The sequence below is a fragment of the Homo sapiens genome, chromosome 2 (assembly GCF_000001405.40).
Source record: "Homo sapiens chromosome 2, GRCh38.p14 Primary Assembly".
Classification (NCBI taxonomy): domain Eukaryota; kingdom Metazoa; phylum Chordata; class Mammalia; order Primates; family Hominidae; genus Homo; species Homo sapiens.
The window spans coordinates 42,567,706-42,588,591 of record NC_000002.12 but is presented as its reverse complement, the minus strand read 5'-3'; the positions used below and the strand labels follow the sequence as shown (position 1 = coordinate 42,588,591).

At 45.3% G+C, this 20,886-nt stretch overlaps 1 protein-coding gene and 1 long non-coding RNA gene across 7 annotated transcripts in view, besides 6 other annotated features; one reads left to right on the top strand and one right to left on the bottom strand.

The window, feature by feature from the left end:
• The window catches only part of LOC105374555 (uncharacterized), a 36,950-nt gene extending 31,292 nt beyond the window's left edge, over positions 1–5,658 (top strand). The window contains exon 3 of the long non-coding RNA XR_001739432.2: positions 5,578–5,658. This is a non-coding gene — a long non-coding RNA (uncharacterized LOC105374555). The remainder of the gene's footprint in view (positions 1–5,577) is intronic.
• Positions 1–20,886, bottom strand: part of MTA3 (metastasis associated 1 family member 3) — a 262,837-nt gene that overhangs the window by 168,355 nt on the left and 73,596 nt on the right. For 4 of the 6 annotated variants that reach the window (NM_001330442.2, NM_001330443.2, NM_001330444.2 and 1 more), the window contains exons 1-3: positions 19,819–19,960; positions 18,088–18,155; positions 9,392–9,485 (exon numbers count right to left, since the gene is read on the bottom strand). In NM_001330442.2, coding sequence (NP_001317371.1) covers positions 9,392–9,485; positions 18,088–18,155; positions 19,819–19,846 — 190 coding nt within the window. In that variant the 5' untranslated portion in view covers positions 19,847–19,960. Of the gene's footprint in view, positions 1–9,391; positions 9,486–18,087; positions 18,156–19,818; positions 19,961–20,365; positions 20,548–20,886 lie in introns of those variants that run through there. The other 2 variants (NM_001282756.2, NM_001282755.2) reach the window with 2 other exon arrangements.
• Positions 16,382–16,908: an enhancer, noted in NCBI's record as "H3K27ac-H3K4me1 hESC enhancer chr2:42798824-42799350 (GRCh37/hg19 assembly coordinates)". NCBI's record gives its function as "activates a minimal SCP1, AML or CMV promoter by ChIP-STARR-seq in primed H9 embryonic stem cells {active_cell/tissue: H9 hESC(primed)}" and the evidence as "EXISTENCE:reporter gene assay evidence [ECO:0000049][PMID:30033119]".
• Positions 19,603–19,682: a silencer, noted in NCBI's record as "silent region_11410". NCBI's record gives its function as "represses an Ori minimal core promoter by ATAC-STARR-seq in GM12878 lymphoblastoid cells {active_cell/tissue: GM12878}" and the evidence as "EXISTENCE:reporter gene assay evidence [ECO:0000049][PMID:35858748]".
• Positions 19,743–19,902: a silencer, noted in NCBI's record as "silent region_11409". NCBI's record gives its function as "represses an Ori minimal core promoter by ATAC-STARR-seq in GM12878 lymphoblastoid cells {active_cell/tissue: GM12878}" and the evidence as "EXISTENCE:reporter gene assay evidence [ECO:0000049][PMID:35858748]".
• Positions 20,173–20,222: a silencer, noted in NCBI's record as "silent region_11408". NCBI's record gives its function as "represses an Ori minimal core promoter by ATAC-STARR-seq in GM12878 lymphoblastoid cells {active_cell/tissue: GM12878}" and the evidence as "EXISTENCE:reporter gene assay evidence [ECO:0000049][PMID:35858748]".
• Positions 20,283–20,332: a silencer, noted in NCBI's record as "silent region_11407". NCBI's record gives its function as "represses an Ori minimal core promoter by ATAC-STARR-seq in GM12878 lymphoblastoid cells {active_cell/tissue: GM12878}" and the evidence as "EXISTENCE:reporter gene assay evidence [ECO:0000049][PMID:35858748]".
• Positions 20,573–20,712: an enhancer, noted in NCBI's record as "active region_15650". NCBI's record gives its function as "activates an Ori minimal core promoter by ATAC-STARR-seq in GM12878 lymphoblastoid cells {active_cell/tissue: GM12878}" and the evidence as "EXISTENCE:reporter gene assay evidence [ECO:0000049][PMID:35858748]".

Genomic DNA, 20,886 nt, shown 5'->3' with positions numbered 1-20,886 from the left:
TGACTTGTTAAAAAACCTAAATCTCTTCCATGTCTGCTGGTTTCAAATTATCTGCTTCTAGCAAAACTGAAAGAAGACCTAATTGAATTGTCAGCTGCTAAATCATTAAAAATCCTTTATTGTCAATGACTGCTATATGCTTTTTCAAACACAGTTGAGAAGAACAAAGAACTGACACCTTTATAAGCTCTAAGGGCAGAGATTTCGGTAGCTTTGTTCACCACTCATCACCAGTACTTAGTAGAATGTCCAGTACACAGCAGGAGCTCAAAATACATTTGGTAAATGAATACATAGTAAAACTCCACCATTCTGATCTACTTACTTACATGTAAAAATTTTGTTAGAATCTACATGTATATAAATCAAACATGAGGAACAGAATGAAAGCTAAACCTGTCTCATTCTAGCAATGAGGTATATTATTTCAAGGATTCATTAAGCTAATTGGAGTGAGAGGAAGCCCCACTAAGCTTAAGATTTCCTATGAAAATGTCACACTTTTAGTTTTACTAATTATCAAAAATTTTACAATGTATACTATTATTATAAAAATCCAAGGAAAAATGTTAAGACTCTGAGCCTTATGAACTCAGAAAATGTAAATAGTTTTACATTTTAATTTACATAGGCATTTCTGTTGCAGTGATTCATAAGATAATTAATATAATTTGCAAGCATAAAAAACATTAGGTTAGTACACCAGGGACACCTGGAACCCCAGCACCTTAGGAGGCCAAGGTGGGCAGATCACTTGAGGCCAGGAGTTCAAGACCAATCTGGCCAACACAGCAAAAACCCATCTCTACAAAAAATGCAAAAATTAGCTGGGTGTGGTGGGGCACGCCTGTGATCCCAGCTACTCGGGTGGCTGAAGCAGGAGAATCACTTGAATCCCTACCTCAAGGCAGCGGTTTCAGTGAGCTGAGACTGTGCCACTACACTCCAGCCTGGGTGACAAGAGTCAGACTGTCTCAAAAAAACAAACAAATAAATGAATAAATAAAAGAAGGGAAAATCGAGAGAAAAAAACAGAAAACATTCTGCTACCATTTTTGAAAAAAAATATTGCAAAGGAAAGAACGTGTGTATACATTTTTGTATGTATTTTATTTCATACACAAGAATTCTCACTGGAAAAGACACCAGAAGCTAGTAATAATAATGACTTGTCGGGGAGAACTGGGTTTTGGGGGGTCCTGATATAGGGAGTTTTTACACTGAATACATTTTTGTATCTTTTAAATGTTTGCTCATTCAAATGTCAACTTATATTTTGGGAGGCAGGGTCTTGTTCTGTCACACGGGCTGGAGTGCAGTGGCGCAATCATGGCTTACTGCAGCCTCAACCTCCAGCGATCTGTACTAACGTTTTATTTTTTATTTTACTTTTTTTTTTGAGACAGAGTCTCACTGTGTCACCCAGGCTGGAGTGCAGTGACACGATCTTGGCTCACTGCAACCTCCGCCTCCTGGGTTCAAGGTATTCTCCTGCCTCAGCCTCCTGAGTAGCTAGGATTACAGGTGCCTGCCACCACACCTGACTAATTTTTGCATTTTTATTTTTTTTGAGATGGAGTCTCACTCTGTCACCAGGCTGGAGTGCAGTGGCACGATCTCAGCTCACTGCAACCTCCACCTCCCGGGTTCAAGCGATTCTCTTGCCTCAGCCTCCTGAGTAGCTGGGACTATAGGCACATGCCACCATACCCAGCTAATTTTTGTATTTTTAGTAGATACGGGGTTTCACCATGTTGGCCAGGATGGTCTCGATCTTCTGACCTCATGATCCACCCACCTCAGCCTCCCAAAGTGCTGGGATTACAGGCGTTAGCCACCATGCCCAGCCAATTTTTGTATTTTTCCTAGAGATGGGTTTTTGCCATGCTGGTCCTGGCCTCAAGTGATCTACCCGTCTCGGGCCCCCAAAGTGCTGGAAGCCAAAGCGCTGGGAGCCACAGTGCCCAGCCAACGATGTGTGTGTGTGTGTGTGTGTGTGTGTGTGTGTGTGTGTGTGTGTGTGTGTGTGTGTGTTTTCCTTCCTTGTGTGTGTGTGTTTTTCCTTCCTTTGTGTGTTTGTGTGTGTGTGTGTGTGTGTGTGTGTGTGTGTGTGTTTTCCTTCCTTCTTTGTACCGGTTTCTTGAAATTTCCTTTTTTTTTTTTTTCACTTTTAGATATGAGGTCTCGCTGTGTTGCCCAGGCTAGTCTCCAACTCCTGGACTCAAGTGGTCCTCCTACCTTGGCCTCCAAAAGTGCTTGGATTACAGGCGTAAGCCACTGCCCCTGGCCTAAATTTTCTTTTTTTTTTTTTTCTTTTGAGATGGAGTTTCACTCCTGTTGTCCGGGCTGGAGTGCAATGGTACAGTCTCAGCTCACTACAACCTCCACCTTCCGGGTTCAAGCAATTCTGCCTCAGCCTCCCAAGCAGCTGGAATTACAGGCATGTGCTGCCATGCCCAGTTAATTTTGCATTCTTAGTAGACAAAGGGTTTCACCACGTTGGTCAGGCCGAACTCCTGACCTCCAGTGATCCATCCACCTCGGCCTCCCAAAGTGCTGGGATTAGAGGCATGAGCCACTGCGCCTGGCCCTAAATTTTCTTTTTATTTGTCAGGAAGTTATTCATCTTGTTTATAATTTATTTTTTTTTAAAGAGACACAGGTGTCACTCTATTGCCCAGGCTGGAATGCAATTGCTCAATCATAGCTCATTCCAACCCTGAAATACTGGACTCAAGTGATTCTCCTATCTCACCCTCCTTTGTAGGTAAAACTGTAATTATACATAACCAAATAAATAAAATAAAATACAGGATGGGGCCACGCAAAGTGGCTCATGCCTCTAATCCGAGCACTTTGGGAGGCCAAGGCAGGTGGATCACTTGAGGTTGGAAGTTCAAGACCATCCTGGCCAACACGGTGAAACCCGGTCTCTATAAAAATACAAAAATTAACCAGGCGTGGTGGCACACATCTGTAGTTCCAGCTACTCAGAAGGCTGAGGCAGGCGAATCACTTGAACCCACGAGGCGGAGGTTGCAGTGAGCTGAGATTGCACCACTGCACTCCGGCCTGGGCGACAGAGTGAGACTGTCTCAAAAAAAAAAAAAAAAAAGAAAAGAAAGAAAAAAGAATCATTTGGTCTTTCATATTGTTACTGAACTCAACTTACAATGTTTTTCTTTTTAATAATTTCCACTTTTCAGCCAGGCGCGGTGGCTCATGCCTGTAATCCCAGCACTTTGGGAGGCCGAGGTGGGCAGATCACCTGAGGTTGGGAGTTCGAGACCACCCTGACCAACATGGAGAAACCCCGTCTCTACTAAAAATACAAAATTAGCCAGGTGTGGTAGCACATGCCTGTAATCCCAGCTGCTCGGGAGGCTGAGGCAGGGAATTGCCTGAACCCAGGAGGTGGAGGTTGCAGTGAGCCGGAGATCGCGCCATTGCACTCCAGCCTAGGCAACAAGAGCGAAACTCTGTCTCAAAAAATTATTATTATTATTATTTGATTATTATGTAATCAAAGTTACTTGGGAGGCTGAGACAGGAGAATTGCTTGAACCCAGGAGGTGGAGGTTGCAGTGAGCCGAGATTGTGCCACTGCACTCAAGCCTAGGTGACAGAGCGAGACTCTGTCTCAAAAAAAAAAAAAATCTTATGGCTTCTGGACTTACTTTCTAGGTCTCTTAATCCATTTTTTTCCCCCAAGAGAAAGGGTCTCCCTTTGTCACCCAGGGTGGAGTGCAAACACACCCAGGGTGTGGCACGAACACAGCTCACTGCAGCCTCAATCTCCTGGGCTCAAGCAATCCTCCTGCCTCAGTCTCCTGAGTAACTGGGACCAGAGCTGTGTGCCACCACACCCAGCTAATCTTTTCTTTTTGTTGTTGTTAAAATGGGGTATTCCTGTGCTGTCCAGGCTGGTATCTAATTCCTGGGCTCATGTAATCATCCTGCCTCAGCCTCCCAAAGTGCTGGGTTTCTGTAATTTTTTTATTCAACTATGGGCAACAGAGCTAGACTCCATCCCAAAAAAAAAAAAATACACTGAAGTCTCCAACTTACCATTAAATGGTTCAGAAAATAATATATGTATATTTGCATTATATATAGAATGATAAAGCCAATAGGGCAAAATGTTAGCAACTCTTGAATCTGAGTAAATGGCATGGAGAGTTCCTTATACACTTGGACACTTTAAGTTTGAAAGATGTTATGACCTTTTAGAAGTAAGTACTGAAATATTTACAGATAAAAAGGTAAGGCTTCTTTGACGTGCTTCAAAATAATGGGCTAGCGAGTAGAGGTCTAGATGAATCACAGTTGATCATGTGTAGATTACTGTTAATACACAGTGATGGAAACACCAGGCATACTGTATTCTTCTCTGCTTGTACATGATGAAAGTTTTCTGTAATAAAAAGTTTGTTTTTTTTAAGAGTTCGTAAGGTGGGCACAGTGGCTCACACCTGTAATCCAGCACTTTGGGAGGCAGAGGTGGGCGTATCACCTGAGGTAGGGAGTTCGAGACCAGCCTGACCAATACAGAGAAACCCCGTCTCTACTAAAAATATAAAATTAGTCAGGCATGGTGGCGCATGCCTGTACTCCCAACTACTCAGGGGGCTGAGACAGGAGAATCGCTTGAACCTGGGAGGTGGAGGTTACGTTGAGCTGAGATCACGCGCCACTGCACTCCAGCCTGGGCAACAAAAGCGAAACTCCAACTCAAAACAAAACAAAAAAAGAGTCCATAATGGCCAGGCACAGTGGCTCACACCTGCAATCATGGCACTTTGGGAGGCCAAGGCAAGAGGATCACTTGAGAGCCCAGGAGTTGGAGACCAGCCTGGCCAACATGGCAAAACCCCATCTCTACTAAAAATACAAAAATTAGCCAGGCATGGTGGCATGCGCGTGTACTCTCAGCTATTCGGGAGGCTGAGGCATGAGAATTGCTTGAACCAGGGAAGGCTGCAGTGAGACAAGATTGTGCCACTGCACTCCAGCCTGAGCGATAGAGCAAGACTCTATCTCAAAAAATAAAAAAAAGTCCATAATGAGAAGAGTTTTTTAAATGGAAAAACTAAAGTTCAGGAAAATTAAGTGGCATCCACACTCAGGACTCCAGTTTTGAACTCATTCTAATAACACTTTCTCCATTAATCCTCCCTAAAAAACTCCTCATAAAACATGAATTCTTCAGACAACTTTATGTGCTGTCTGCACCTGATGTTTTAGTCAATACCAACAGAAATACAGTAAGATACATCTAACTCCACCATTCCCGGATATATAGTTGCCTTTGAAAGTAAAATCAACAAATAATGTACATAGAAGTAATCCTTCTAAACAGATAAATATACATAGAAGTAATCCACCCATAGGGATAATCAACAAATTGCTGGGTAGGTAGAAAACAAACCATCTGACATTTACTACACACCCATTATGAGTTGTTCCTTATGTCATAATCCTCACATCAACATGGGTGTCTTTTTTCTCCCCGTTTTTTGGTGGTAAAATATATCTATAACACAAAATGAAGTAATTTCTCTACTCTCTATTTTACAGATGAGAAAAAAAGGAAATCACTAAGAAGTTATGAAATTTTCCTATGTCAAGCAGTAAAACAGCCAACCAGAATCTGAACCCAGGTCTTTCTTTAAAATGTGTGGTGAGAGTGGCAAGCAGTAGGGGAAAAAAATGAAAGAAAAAATGCATGATGGCTACTACATCATTTGCTTGATGCTAAGTTCCTTAAAATTTATTTTCTACGAGTTAATACCAACAGGCTAATCAATTATGAATAAATTAATTTTCTACATACCCAATCCTAAAATAGACAAGACCAAGATGCTGTCATGCTGAGACTCTCCAGTCAGCAGATGCTCTACCAACAGTGAGCAGACCCCCTAAAAATCATTTCCTCTCACTATTTTTGCAGCAATAATTTTTTTAAAAATAGAGTCAGGGTCTTGCTAAGTTGGCCAGGCTGATCTCGAACTCCTACCCTCAAGCAATCCTCCCAACTTGGCCTACCTAAATGGTGAGATTACAAGCATGAGCCACCACTCCTGGCCAAGATATTGCTTTTTAGAATGACATACTAATCAGGTATTTTGGTTATAGCAAAAATCTATAAATTTAATGTATTAAAGTATATATGCAAACTTGTTTGGATTTTATTCACCATTTACAACATAAACTTAAAAAAGGTAAAATATCTCGGGCTGGGCGCAGTGGCTCACGCCTGTAATCCCAGCACTTTGGGAGGCCAAGGCAGGCAGATCACGAGGTCAGGAGATCGAGACCATCCTGGCTAACGCGGTGAAACCCCGTCTCTACTGAAAAGACAAAAAAATTAGCCGGGCGTGGTGGCAGGCGCCTGTAGTCCCAGCTTCTCGGGAGGCTGAGGCAGGAGAATGGCCTGAACCTGGGAGGCGGAGCTTGCAGTGAGCCAAGATCGCGCCACTACACTCCAGCCTGGGCGACACAGCAAGACTCCGTCTCAAAAAAAAAGATAAAATATCTCATATTGCCGGCCACGGTGGCTCATGCCTGTAATACCAGCATTTTGAAAGGCAGAGGCGGGCAGATCACCTGAGGTTGGGAGTTTGAGACCAGCCTACCCCGTCTCTACTAAAAATACAAAATTAGCCAGGCATAGTGGCACATGCCTGTAATCCCAGCTACTCAGGAGGCTGAGGCAGGAGAATCACTTGATTTGGGAGGTGGAGGTTGCAGTGAGCCGAGATCGTGCCATTGCACTCCAGCCTGGGCAACAAGAGCGAAACTCCGTCTCTAAATAAATAAAAATAAAATAAAATACTTTTTAAAATCTGATTTATGTTCATATACTTTGGATTTAATCATGCTTGTAATCTAGCTTCTAAGGTTGTTGCTAGTTGGGTGTGGTGCCTCACACCTGTAATCCCAACATTTTGGGAGGCCGAGGTCGGAGGACTGCTTGAGGCCAATAGTTTGAGACCCACCCTGGCAACATAACAAGACCCCATTTCTACCAAAAAAAAAAAAAAGTTTTTTAATTAGCTAGGCACGGTGAGATGCGCCTGTACTCCCAGCTTCTCTAAAGACTGAGGCAGGAAGATCCTTTGAGCCAAGGCTTGATTCAAGGCTGCAGTGAGCTATGATCCTGCCACTGCACTCCAGCCTGGGCAAGAGAGCAAGACCCTGTCTCCGAAAAAAAAAAAAAAAAAAAAAAAAAGCAATTTGGGACCAGGCATGGTGACTCACACCTGTAATCCGAACACTTTGTGAGGATCCCTTGAGGCTAGGAGTTCAATACCAGCCTGGTGCTTTTAAAGCAATATTTTGTTCTCATTATCAGTAGCAAATGTGAAGCCTTGATATGCTGAATATATAATTTGTAAACGTGACAGAACTCATATCATAATGAACACTTTTTTGTTTTACATGTCAGCAATTAATTGAAATAATGAACACTTTCTATACAGAAACAGAAAAACACAATGAACTACAGGAGAAAATACAGTAAGAATTTAACTTATGAGACAACTAACTTGCCTGGCTAAACGGATGACACAGTGGGCAACGACTCTCAAGCAAACTCAGAACAAACCTATGCAAACAGCAGCCTTCCTTACACCCATACCAGAACATTTCAAAAGCTTCAGGGTCCTCAAGACCATAGTGATTATAAATCAAAGTATCAAACTGGCCGGGTGGGGTGGTTCACACCTGTAATCCCAGCACTCCCAAGCTGGGCGGATCACTTGAGGTCAGGAGTTCAACACCAGCCTGGCCAACATGGTGAAACCCTGTCTCTACTAAAAATACAAAAATTAGCTGGGCATGGTGGTGCATGCCTGTAATCCCAGCTACTCGGGAGGCGGAGGCAGGAGAATCGCTTGAAGCTGGGAAGCAGAGGTTACAGTGAGCTGAGATCATGTCATTGCACTGTAATCCCAGCACTTTGGGAGGCTGAAGTCAGCAGATCATGAGGTCAGGAGTTCCAGACCAGCCTGACCAACATGGTGAAACCCTGTCTCTGCTAAAAATACAAAAATTAGCTGGGTGTGGTGGCACCCACCTGTAATCCCAGCTACCCAGGAGGCTGAGGCAGGAGAGTCGCCTGAACCCAGAAGGCGGAGGTTGCAGTGAGCCAAGATGGCACCACTGCACTCCAGTCTGGGTGACAGAGCAAGACTCAATCTCAAAATAAATAAATAAATAAATAAATAAATAAAATTAATTAAATAAAATAATAAAACCTGCACATCCTGCACAGGTACCCCTGAACTGAAAAGAAGGGGGGGAAAAATGTGGCTGGGCATGGTGGCTCACACCAATAATCCCAGCACTTTGGAAAGCTGAGGCAGGAGGATCACTTGAGCCTTTGGAAAGCCAAGGTAGGAGGATCACTTGAGCCCAAGAGTTCCAGACCAGCCTGAGAAACATAGGGAGACTCTATCTCTGTAACACGCTTTTTTAAAATTAGCCTGGTGTCGTGGTGCACACCTGTGGACCCAGCTACTCTGGAGGCTGAGGTGGGGGTATTGCTTCAGCCCGGGACATCGAGGCTGCAGTGAGCCATGATTGTGCCACTGCACTCTCCAGCCTGGGCAACAGAGCAAGACCTAGTCCCCTCACCAAAAAAACTAAGTATTATTCAGTTGTTTTAGCAGGGAGAAAACATCCTCCGAAACAGTGAAGTATAAATTTCCTCCTATCTGTATCCTCACAAAACCACCAATAGGCCAGGCCCAGTAGCTCATGCATGTAATCCTAGCTCTTTGAGAGGCCAAGGTGGGAGATTACTTGAGGCCTAGGGTTCAAGACCAGCCTGGGCAACATAGCAAGACTCCATCTCTATTCAAAAGAAAAATCCACCACTGAAAACAGGAGATGGCAAGACACTGCCCAGATCCTTTGCTAAAGCCTATTTACAAAGGCTTCTATGTCAACATTTTCACCAATTAATGAATGTGATACAACCTAAAAAACCATATACTAGGCCAGGCCTGGTAGCTCACACCTGTAATCCCAGCACTTTGCAAGGATGAGGCAGGAGGCTCACTTGAGCCTGTGATTTTGAGGCTGCAGTGAGCCATGATCACACCACTGCACTCCAGCCTGGGTGACAGAGCAAACTTTGTCTCCGGAAAAAAAAAAAAATATATATATATATAGATATAAAATTACATACACACATATATACACATATACACTGAAACCAAACACCAGTGTTTGGTTTCAGTTAGTATCACTTATTTTACTCCCATCAAAACTACAAAGAAGATAAATGGACAAGCAAAAGACTTCAGGTAAGAAAAAGCATGTTTCCACCTCATCACAAAAAACACAAGACTTAAAACGTTTTTTTAATCAGAGAAAAACAACTTACTAGCATGCTTATCTGCGAGCATTATAAGTGTGTTGGAAATATCACGTCGTCTATAAAAGCATACTACTTTTGCTTCCACGTTGCCACTTGCAGTCTAAGAGATAAGAAAAATAAAAGTCATTTGCACTGAATATTAGAGTCAAATAATTTATACAACGAAACTAGATACAGCACAATTATATGATCATGCTCATTAACACTGGTGCCAACCACAACTGCAGGATAACCACAGAGCTAAAAAATTCAAATAAGGATGAGCAACATTTGTTCTGCTTCCAAGCACAACTGGAATGTCAAACATATAATAACACTGGCATTAATTAAACTAAACTGATTAGACTGCTTTAATGATTAAAGCCAGACATAGTTAACACTGATTAGCTTTAAGAAACTAATCCCCCAACTGCTTCAATTAACTAGCCTTAAAAAAAACAAAAGAGAAAGAAACTAATCCCACCAATTTTTAAAGCCACAACTGACGGAAATAATTTATTTCAGTCATTTAAACACACCTCGTCCAAACCCATTCCCAGAAAGCACTAGCTAAGTGTAAAATCACCAAGCCCTCCCCTAAGTATCCCATGTTCCATGGACAGTGAAGCTCTGCAGGTGGGAAGCAGCCATCATGCAGAATAGACCAGGTGACCTGGAAAAGCATTCTCTACACCAAGGAAGTCTATGAATCTCTAAGAGTCAATATTCTAAGCAGTACTTAGTTTACCTTCACATCTAAAAATATTAAAAACCTTGAGTTATGAACACTGAAACTCTCATTTCTTTTTGGCTACAATCTACAATGCAAACAATATTCAGTTAGGTTCTTCCAAAGTATGATGGCTTCAAAAAAAAATTCAGTTATGCTGTCATTTACTGCAGCTGGGGCCCAGGCTCCTGCTCTCCTATTCTCTAGAATTCTGAGAGCTCTCAAGAAGGTCAATCATTCATTACAAAGTTCCCTGTAAAAACACACAGATTATAATAAAATGCTATTGTGATTTCCATTTTCAAACAAGTGTGAGAACAAATTTTCAGAAATTTCTCTGGTCTTACAGATATACTCAAATACAAAGAAGAATATAAGTGCTGCAGTAAATTTGTCAATTTTATGAAGTCCAGCAGCCGTATTTTAGATTAAGAAATAGTCCTGTGGAAACAGTGCCCCTTAAAACTGAAATCATATTAAATTTCTAACCAAAGTGCTTCTATATTTCATAATATTGTGATCAAATACATTCTCCAGAAGTAATGATCCAGCAATCTGCTAAATGAACAGGCCAAAATTTCCATGTAAATAAAATAAAATCTATCAATGACTTCAAATATAAGCTCTTAGTCATTTCTGTCTTCTTGAGATATGCCTTGAAACTGCTGCTTTGGATTTTCAATGTGATTTTTGTCTCTTCTTGAGACATTAAAAATCCAGGCCGGGTGCGGTGGCTCACACCTGTAATCCCAACACTTTGGGAGTCCAAGGTGGGCAGATCACGAGGTCAGGAGTTCTAGACCAGCCTGGCCAACATAGTAAAACCCCATCTCTACCAAAAATACAAAAATTAGCTGGGTGTGGTGGCACACACCTGTAGTCCCAGCTACTCGGGAGGCTGAGGCAGGAGAATCGCTTGAACCTGGGAGGTGGAGGTTGCAGTGAGCCAAGACCACACCACTGCACTCCAGCCTGGGTGACACAGTGACAATCCGTCTCAAAAAAAAAAAAAAATCCAAATCAACAGTTTCAAGGCATATTTTTTTCTGCCTCACTAGTGAGTTCCTCCAATAGGGATGCTATACAAAGCTAATTAAATTCTTATTTAAACCTGCTTAGGGGGCGGGGAGCATAGTTCAAAATAAATAGTCTCTTCTTGACCATGCACTCACTTAGCTACTAGGTAGCTTACAGCTACCATATTCCTCTTCCCCTCTACAAACACACCCTCTCCAGCATTCTTCTGAAGCATGGTTACTCATGGGTCTACAGCCCAGTGCCAGTCTGCAACTGTTAATGGCATTTAATGAAATGAGTACAGGGTTTGAGACTAAGTGCATTACAGCAATTAAGAGTTCATTTTTATATATATATATATATATATATATATATTTTTTTTTTTTTTTAGATGGAGTACCATTCTGTTGCCAGGCTTGAGTGCAGTGGCACAATCTCGGCTCACTGCAACCTCCAACTCCCTGGTTCAAGCGATCCTCCTGCCTCAGCCTCCCAAGTAGCCTTTTTTCCCTAGCTTATCTATCAGAACAAAGTAAGTATTTTCAGTTTAGAGGTGGTTTTGTTTTGGTTTTTTTGTTTGTTTGTTGAGATGGAGTTTCACTGTTGCCCAGGCTGGAGTGCAATGGCACGATCTCAGCTCACTGCAACTTCCGCCTCATGGGTTCAAGCGATTCTCCTGCCTCAGCCTCCCGAGTAGCTGGGATTACAGGCATGCGCCACCATGCCCGGCTAATTTTGCACTTTTAGTAGAGACAGGGTTTCACCACATTGGCCAGGCTAGTCTCAGACTCCTCTCAGGTGATCCACCCACCTCGGCCTCCCGAAGTCCTGGGATTACAGGCGTGAGCCACCATATCTGGCCTTGTTTTGGTTTTTTTCAGAGATGGGGGGTCTTATTATGTTGCACAGGCTGGTCTCAAACCCCCAGGCTCAAGCAATCCTCCTGCCTCAGCCTCTCGAGCAGCTGGGACTACAGGCCTGAGCCACCATGCCTGTCTTCAAGTATTTTTAAATCATTATTTGGATTTTCCCATCATGTTAACAACTTTCCCTACCTAGCCAATTTCACCTCTGATCTTCCCAGGGCCTTTATCTAGAACACTCCTGCGTCCTCTCTTCCCATGGTTCCCTCTTCCTCATCCTTTAGGCCTCAACTTCAATGTCCTGTTCCACCCTACCTAAAGGAAATGACCTGTCATTCTCTATGTCAAGGTTCTTGCCTTCTTAGAAGTTAATACAATTCATTACTATTACTATTTTCTTTATGCCCATCAACTTGTCTTTCCGGGTGTCTCCCTCATTAGAATGTGGACCCTGTATGGGTAGAGACCATGTACATCTTGTTCACATTCTATCTCTGAGCCTAGCATAGTGCCTGGTACAAAACAGGTACTCAATAATATTTGCTTAATGAATTATCTAAAATAAGATGTCTTTTTCACATCCCTTCAGAAATAAAGACCCTATGTAAATATTTCAATTAGCCATTCAAACTACCATTTTGTGAAATTACAAAGAATCCCATCTCTCACAACACAACCCCAGTCCCAGAAACTCGCTATTACATGGATGACTCTGTGCTGACAACAGGTAGGCGGAGGGAGGAGGTGAGGATGGATGAGGGGGGCATTTCAGAAATGAATGGCCATGAAATGATAAAGGAGTGTGAAATAAGCTATGTTCACCTAGATGTGCAACCCAATAATTTAGCTACTATGTGCCTCAAGAAAACAATGCATGATTTAGCTACCTTAAGGTGTAAGGTTCTGTGAGGCTCAAAAGGGTAACAAACGTGAATCCTGGGTTAGGTTTCCAGAGCACCATGCTGTGACATTTCTAAACTTAGCACAGCTACAATTTTACTTTCACTTGTGGGACTATATGGTTGATGTCTGTCTCCACTAGACCTGTTTTTTTTTTATCACCCTTGCATTCTCACTGTCTAAAAGTACCTGGCTGGTAGAAGGTCCTCAATTTTATTTGTAAAATGAATGAATCAAAGCAGTTTGTAAATAGTAAAGCTATGTACACATAAGCATTAACATCAGACATTTCAGAAATTAATTAATTCAACAAGTATTTAGTGAATGCCTTTAACTATGTGCCAGCCACTATTCTAAGGCACTCAGAATGCATAACTGGACAAAACAGAAAAGATCACTGCAGCTGACACTCTAGGAAGACAGGTAATGAAAATAAACACAGTAAGTATATTTGGAGGTGATAAATGATATGGAAAAAAGAGCAAGGGGTGAGGGGTAGGACGGACACAAATAAACGGTCCTCCTAAGGTGGTTGCAGGGAGAAACAGCCAAAAGCCCATTGTGCTTTGTGCCAAGTAAGCAAGGCAGAGCTCCCACCTGCTTTCAGCGAAAGTGGAGGTCAGAGAGGGGCAGTGACAGCCAAAGAATATAGGGTCTCATAGGTCAAGATTTCTATTTCGATGTAATTAACTTTCTAATTAAACTGATATGGTAAATAGTTTAGAGTTGCCTCAATTCTTATACCTTACATCAATAACATAAAAGATCAGAATCACATGCCAACAGTTCCCATCCACGGACTGATCTACACTTGAGGCCATTCTCTTCACTTGGTGGTCTCAAAGACTAAATAATTTTTTTTTAATGCAAAGGCAGTCAGCCTGTAATCCCAGTGCTTTGAGAGACCAAGATGGGGGACTGCTTGAGGCCAGGAGTTCTAGATCAGCCTGGGCAACACAGTAAGACCACGTCTACAAAAAATTTAAACATTAGGCGGGGTGCAGTGGTTCACGCCTGTAATCCCAGCACTTTGGGAGGCCAAGGCGGGTGGATCACTTGATGACCAGCCTGGCCAACATGGTGAAACCCTGTCTTCACTAAAAATACAAAAAAATTAGCTGGGTGTGGTGGCAGGTGCCTGTAATCCCAGCTAATTGGGAGGCTGAGGGAGGAGAATCACTTGAACCTGGGAGGAGGAGGTTGCAGTGAGCCAGGATCTATGCTACTGCACTCCAGCCTGGGTGACAACTAACATAGGCAAATGCAGTAGCACAGTTATTTTGAGAAAAGGAGGCCGGGCATGGTGGCTCACGCCTGTAATCCCAGCACTTTGGGAGGCCGAGGTGGTAGATCACCTGAGGTCGGGAGTTCGAGACCAGCCTGACCAACATGGAGAAACCCCATCTCTGCTAAAAATTAGCCGGGCATGGTGGTGCATGCCTATAATCCCAGCTGCTCAGGAGGCTGAGGCAGGAGAATCGCTTGAACCCAGGAGGCAGAGGTTGTGGTGAGAGGAGGTTGCACCATTGTACTCCAGCCTGGGCAAGAACAGCAAAACTCCGCCTCAGAAAAAAAAAAAAAAAGCCGGGCGCGGTGGCTCACACCTGTAATCCTAGCACTTTGGGAGGCCGAGGCAGGCGGATCACAAGGTCAGGAGATCGAGACCATCCTGGCTAACACGGTGAAACCCCATCTCTACTAATAAATAATAAATAAATAAATAAATAAATAAATAGCCAGGCGTAGTGGCAGGCTCCTGTAGTCCCAGCTACTCGGGAGGCTGAGGCAGGAGAATGGTGTGAACCCAGGAGGCGGAGCTTGCAGTGAGCTGAGATTGCGCCACTGCACTCTAGCCTGGTCGACGGAGCGAGACTCCATCTCAAAAAAGAAAGAAAGAAAGAAAGAAAATGCTGGGGCAGTGGCTCACGCCTGTAATCTCAGCACTTTGGGAGGCCAAGGCGGGTGGATCACCTGAGGTCAGGAGTTTGAGACCAGCCTGGCCAACATGGTGAAACCCTGTCTCTACTAAAAATACAAAAATTAGCCAGGCATGGTGTTGGGCGCCTGTAATCCCAGCTATTCGGGAGGCTGAGGCAGAAGAATTGCTTGAACCCAGGAGACAGAGGTTGCAGTGACCGGAGATCATGCCATTGTACTCCAGCCTGGGCAACAGAGCAAGAATCCATAGCAACAACAACAAAAAATTAGCCAGGTATGGTGGTACATGCCTGTAGTCTCAGCTACTTGGAAAGCTGAGGCAGGAGGACTGCTTTGAGTCCAGGAGTTCAAGGTTACAGTGAGCTATCATCATACCAATGAACTCCAGCCTGGGTGACAGAGTGAGACCCTGTCTCCCTGTCTCTGGAATAAAATAAAAATAATGCAAATTCCCTGGGATATTCCCAAAACAAACCAAGGTCTCAAGGCTCTTCAAACTAAGAATGTCCTAGGTCAGGCTTGCCTTCTCAAGACAAAACTGAACAAGTTACCAGATGGCATTTTGAGGGAAAGGTATTAGCTAGACAGACTCAAAGATTTTAACACTATGAAGTCTCATAAACCACACAACCCTCAGAGAAGTCTGGAGGAAAACAAAGCATCATTAGAAAATCGGAGGAAAACAAAACATCATTAGAAAATCCATGGTCCATGCAGCTTGACTGCTTTCTGGTACCTCCATTATAAATCCTGGCCAGGCGCAGTGGCCCACACCTGTAATCCCAGCACTTTGGGAGGCTGGGGCGGGTGGATCACCTGAGGTCAGGAGTTCAAGGCCAGCCCAACCAACATGGTGAAACTCTGTCTCTAATAAACACACAAAAAACAGCCAGGCATGGTGGCGCATGCCTGTAATCCCAGCTACTTGGGAGGATGAGACAGTAGAATCGCTTGAACCTGGGAGGAAGAGGTTGCAGTGAGCCAAGATTGCGCCATTGCACTCCAGTCTGGGCAACAAGAGTGAAAACTTCATCTCAAAAAACAAAAAACAAAACAAAACAAAAGTTTCTTCTCCTGCAATCATAAGGCTTCTTTTGTCCTAATAAACGACCATCTCGGACAAATCTTAATGTGAAAATTTTAATTGGGCCAAAGGTACAAAGCTACTTTATATTTATTACACCAAAACCATAATTTTTTTTTTTAATTTCGAGACAGTCTGTGTTACCCAGGCTGGAGTGCAGTGATGCAATCACAGCTCACGGCAGCCTTGACCTCCTGGGCCCAAGCAATCTTCCTCAGCCTCCCAAGTAACTGGGACTACAGGCATGTGCCATCATGCCCGGCTATTTTTTTTTGGTAGAGGCAGGGTTTCCCTATGTTACCCAGGCTAGTCTGGAACTCCTGGACTCAAAGGATCCTGAGGCCTCAGCTTCCCAAAATGTTAGGATTACAGGTGTGAGCTACCACAGACAATTTAGCCTAGTCCAGAATTTTTTTTTTGAGACAGTCTCACTCTGTCACCCAGGCTGGAGGGCAGTGGCGCGATCTCGGCTCACTGCAAGCTCCACCCCCCAGGTTCACCCCATTCTCCTGCCCCAGCCTCCCAAGTAGCTGAGACTACAGGTGCACACCACCATGCCCGGCTAATTTTTTTTGTATTTTTAGTAGAGACGGGGTTTCACTATGTTAGCCAGGATGGTCTCGATCTCCTGACCCCGTGATCCGCCTGCCTTGGCCTCCCAAAGTGCTAGGATTACAGGCGTGAGCCACCGTGCCCAGCCAGCCTAGTCCAGAATTTTACAAATTCCCTTCAATTTTTTTTTTTTTTTGAGACGGAGTTTCACTCTTGTTGCCCAGGCTGGAGTGCAATGGCGTGATCTTGGCTCACTGCCACCTATGCCTCCCAGGTTCAAGCAATTCTCCTGCCTCAGCCTCCCAAGTGGCTGGGATTACAGGCATGCACCAACACACTCAGCTAATTTTGTATTTTTAGTAGAGATGGGGTTTCTCCATGTTGGTCAGGCTGGTCTCAAACTCCCAACCTCAGGTGATCCGCCCGCCTCGACCTCCCAAAGTGCTGGGATTACAGGCGTGAGCCACCGCACCCGCCCAGCCAATTCCTTTCAATATTATGTTCCCTAGCTTCCTCCTTCTAAACCTGGAAGAGGAAAATATTAATTCACTAAAAAGGGAAAAATACACATTATGACTCTAAACATAAAAAGGGTCTGAGTTACATAAGTGAACTGCTCTTTCAGAGGCTCTAAGCAATTTGAAAATATCTGCACACTTTTAAATATTCAGTAACAAAAAAGCAAAAGAATATTCGGAATTCAGAATCGTGCATAACTCTCTAAAATCTCAACTTTTTTTTTTTTTTTTTTTTTTTTGAGACAGTGTTTTGCTCTGTCACCCAGGCTAGAGTGCAATGGCGTGATCTCAGCTCACTGCAACCTCCACCTGGATTCTCCTGCCTCAGCCTCCTGAGTAGCTGGGATTACAGGTGCATGCCACCATGCCTAGCTAATTTTTTTGTACTTTTTTAGTAGAAACAGGGTTTCACCATGTTGGCCAGGCTGGTCTTGAACTCCTGACCTCAAGTGATCCACCCCCTCCTTGGCCTCCCAAATTGCTGGGATTACAGGGGTGAGCCGCCATGCCCAGCCTAAAATCTCATCTTTCAAAGAGTCTGGGACTGAAAGTAAAATCATCTCTTATGCCCCTTTACCCAGCTTATTTTTATTTTTTTATTTTTATTTTTTTTTGAGACGGAGTTTATCTCATTGCCCAGGCTAGGGTGCAATTGCACAATCTTGGCTCACCGCAACCTCCGCCTCCCGGGTTCAAGCGATTCTCCTTCCTCAGCCTCTCGAGTAGCTGGGATTACAGGCATGTGCCACCATGCCCGACTATTTTTTTTGTATTTTTAGTACAGACGGGGTTTCTCCATGTTGGTCAGGCTGGTCTCGAACTCCCGACCTCAGGTGATCCGCCCGCCTCAGCCTCCCAGAGTGCTGAGATTACAGGCATGAGCCACCGCACCCAGCCATATTTTTACTTTTTATATTAATTAAAAAAAAATAAGAGATAGGGTCTCACTATGTTGCACAGGCTGGTCTCCAACTCCTGGGCTCAAGCTATCCACTCGCCAGGCCTCCCAATTTACTGGGATTGCAGGCATGAGCCCCCACACCAGGCCACCCTTTACCCAATTACCCATCAAGGGAAAATAAATATTTTTAATATTAAAATTAAGAACACTCAGTGTATACCTTGTTGAGTTCTTCTATCCTTCTTATTAGGTATGGGTTGCTGGAGGAATTCTCAAAGTAGACATAATCTGTAATTAAAGGAAGTACAGAACTTAATCTTTTTAACAGAAAGTTCAGATTTGTCAATCCAAGACTTTTTATGTTAGGCATTTCACGTTTGAAATTAAGCTCATAATTCATTCACTGGTAAAAGCAAACATAATAATGCAGCCTTAATATATCCTCTCACGTGCCTACTATTCACAGACCTTTATTTTCTTGGCATTTTCATTTCAATTAATGTTTTATCAGTTTCTCCTAGACTTCTGTCCCAATACGTCATTTCTTTAATAATAAACAAAAAAGACACCTCTTATCACTGTGTAGTCAGGGCACGCTAAACATGTGTCCTCTGTACTATAACTACTTCCACATCTTTTTCCTCCAATACAATTTGCCCTGCAGGCTGCTTCTCACATAAAACTATTGACCTAAGACACATTCAGAGCAGGGAGAAAGGCTTCACAGTCCAACCTACATTTCAATCACTACTTAAAAAAAAAAAAAAAAATCAGATGAGCAGAACAGGTTAAGAGGAAGAACGCTGACAAACTTTTCCACAGTTTTACCTGGGAAGATGAGGAAAAAAGGGGGCCGGGGGATCACTTCTAAGAGGCAAAGTGTTCTGGGGGTGATATCAGCATCTTTTTTACCCTTTTACCATATTTAATCCAGATCCATTTAATGTCTTGTGATTAAGAAATTGCTGCAGGCTTTCAACTAAAAGGATAAAATTTTTCAAGTGTGGCTTTTCCTCTCATCTAATAGGCTTGCTGGAAACTTCCCACTGTGTGTTTATCCGAAAGGCAGCTGCATTGTTATTGTCTATCTTAGTGGCTCTTTCGCCGCTCTCTTCTGCAAAGTGGCCTCATTTAGCCAGGCCATTCCCACCACCATCCATCAGAAGCTCGGCTAATGAGCAGAGAAGGAAGAGCCAGTCTCTCATACAAACACGCCACTTATCTGAATTATTATTTTACCAGGAAAGAGGGAGGAGGGCGTCGTGAGTAGGGAGAAAGTTTGTTTGACCTTATTTCTCTCTTCCGCAGAAGACTGGGAAGGAGGCAGGCAGCAGAGCAAACGTCCAGGCAGAGCTCAACTCCCCACCTCCGGCTGAGGTTCCCAGCTCCCACGAAGCCCCATTCGTGGGGGACTGGACCAGAAACGAAAAGGAGGGGGGCCGAGGAAGGGGAGGTGCAGGGCCCCGGCACGCAAACAGGCCCGTCCAGCTGGGCCCCTGGCTGGGCCCCCACCGCCCCCACCCCCACCCCCACCCCAGGCTCCCACTGAGTGGGGAAGAAGCAGGAGAGGGGATGTCCCCTCATCCTCTCCAGCGCCTAGAAGCCACGCAAGAAGGCCACCTTCTCAGGGGGCTCGACGGGCCCTACCCCGATGAGGGTTTCGTGGAGGGGGGTGTCTGGTAATTCGTACCCCCAAGTAGAGGCCTGGCCCTAAACACTGGGCGGGGTGCGAGGGTGAAGGTGGCCCCGGGCCCTCGCGAGCCCGCGTGGGGGGAGGGGAAGGGATGGGTGGGGGTGGGGAGTCCCGGCCCCTCTGCGGGCCCCGGCGCCCCAGCCCACTGCGACCTCAGCCCCGGCGCCCTTGGCTCCCGGCAGTTGGCGTGCACTCGCCCCGGCCCCCCGCTCCCGGAACCCGCTCCCACACGGGCCGGGTCGGGCCGAGCCTGCCTACCTCCGACCCGGTACATGTTGGCCGCCATGTCCGCCCGCCCGCCCGCGGAGCCCGAGCCGAGCCCCGCCCGCCGCCGCCGCCTCCTCCTCAGCCTCAGCCGCGACCGCCGCTGCCGCCGCCGCCGTCGCTGCTGCCTCGCCACGGGGGGGAAGGGAGGGAAGGGAGGGGACAGGGGGTGGGGGAAGTAAAGGGGATGGTACGCCGAGGGGTGGGGGCTGGTGCCCGCCCCCAGCGCCAGGCTAGCAAGGCCGAGTGGGCCGGGCCGGGGGAGGCCCGGGGAGGCTGGAGCGCTGCGGGGCCAGCGGGAATTGGGGGGGAGGGGGAGGGGAAAGGGAGTGGGAGTGGGAGGGAGGGTGGGGGGCCTTGCTGGAAGTGGAGGGCCCTGGGGTCAGGGTCCTGGCTGAGGCAGAGGCCTGCACTCAAATGCGGACCAGGGGCTGTTAGAGAATTAGAGTGGGGGCTGGGGCTTAGCCTCTCCCCAGCACCTCTTCCCCCACCCAGGGTACCCCGTCACCTGTCCACCCCAAGACAGGTCCTCCTTCCCTACCTCTGTCCCTGGGGAACCCCCCTGTGGCTGCCCTAGTAGGCAAGCGCCAGTCTCAATGCAAACTCTTGGATGCAAATAAGTGCAGGCAGCAGGGTGCCTTCCTCGCGGTGAGATTCAAGGGGCCGGCCTGGAGCCTGCAGGCTCTAGGGCCAGGAAGATTCCGGGTGCTTCCCGCCTCGCCAGAGACCCAGCTGGGGACAGAGGTAGAAAAACTCCCTTCCTAGGCCACCCTAACTGCGTCATCGTTTACCCCAAAACTGGGCTGAGCAGAACCAACTGTCCAACACCCAGATGGAGGCCCTGGCTCTAGACGGGCACTGTATATGCAGGGCCTGTTCTGCTGGGAAAAGGGACCTTTAGGAGTGAGGGGCTTCCTTTGTCCATGGGGGAACAGGGCCCTACAGTTCACAATCACCACCACCCCCAAACAGAGGAGATTGTATTCAATCAGTTTCATGTCGATGGACACTTAACTGGTTACGTGCCTAAAGCTTCTAAATGGTTATTGTCCCAGGCCAATT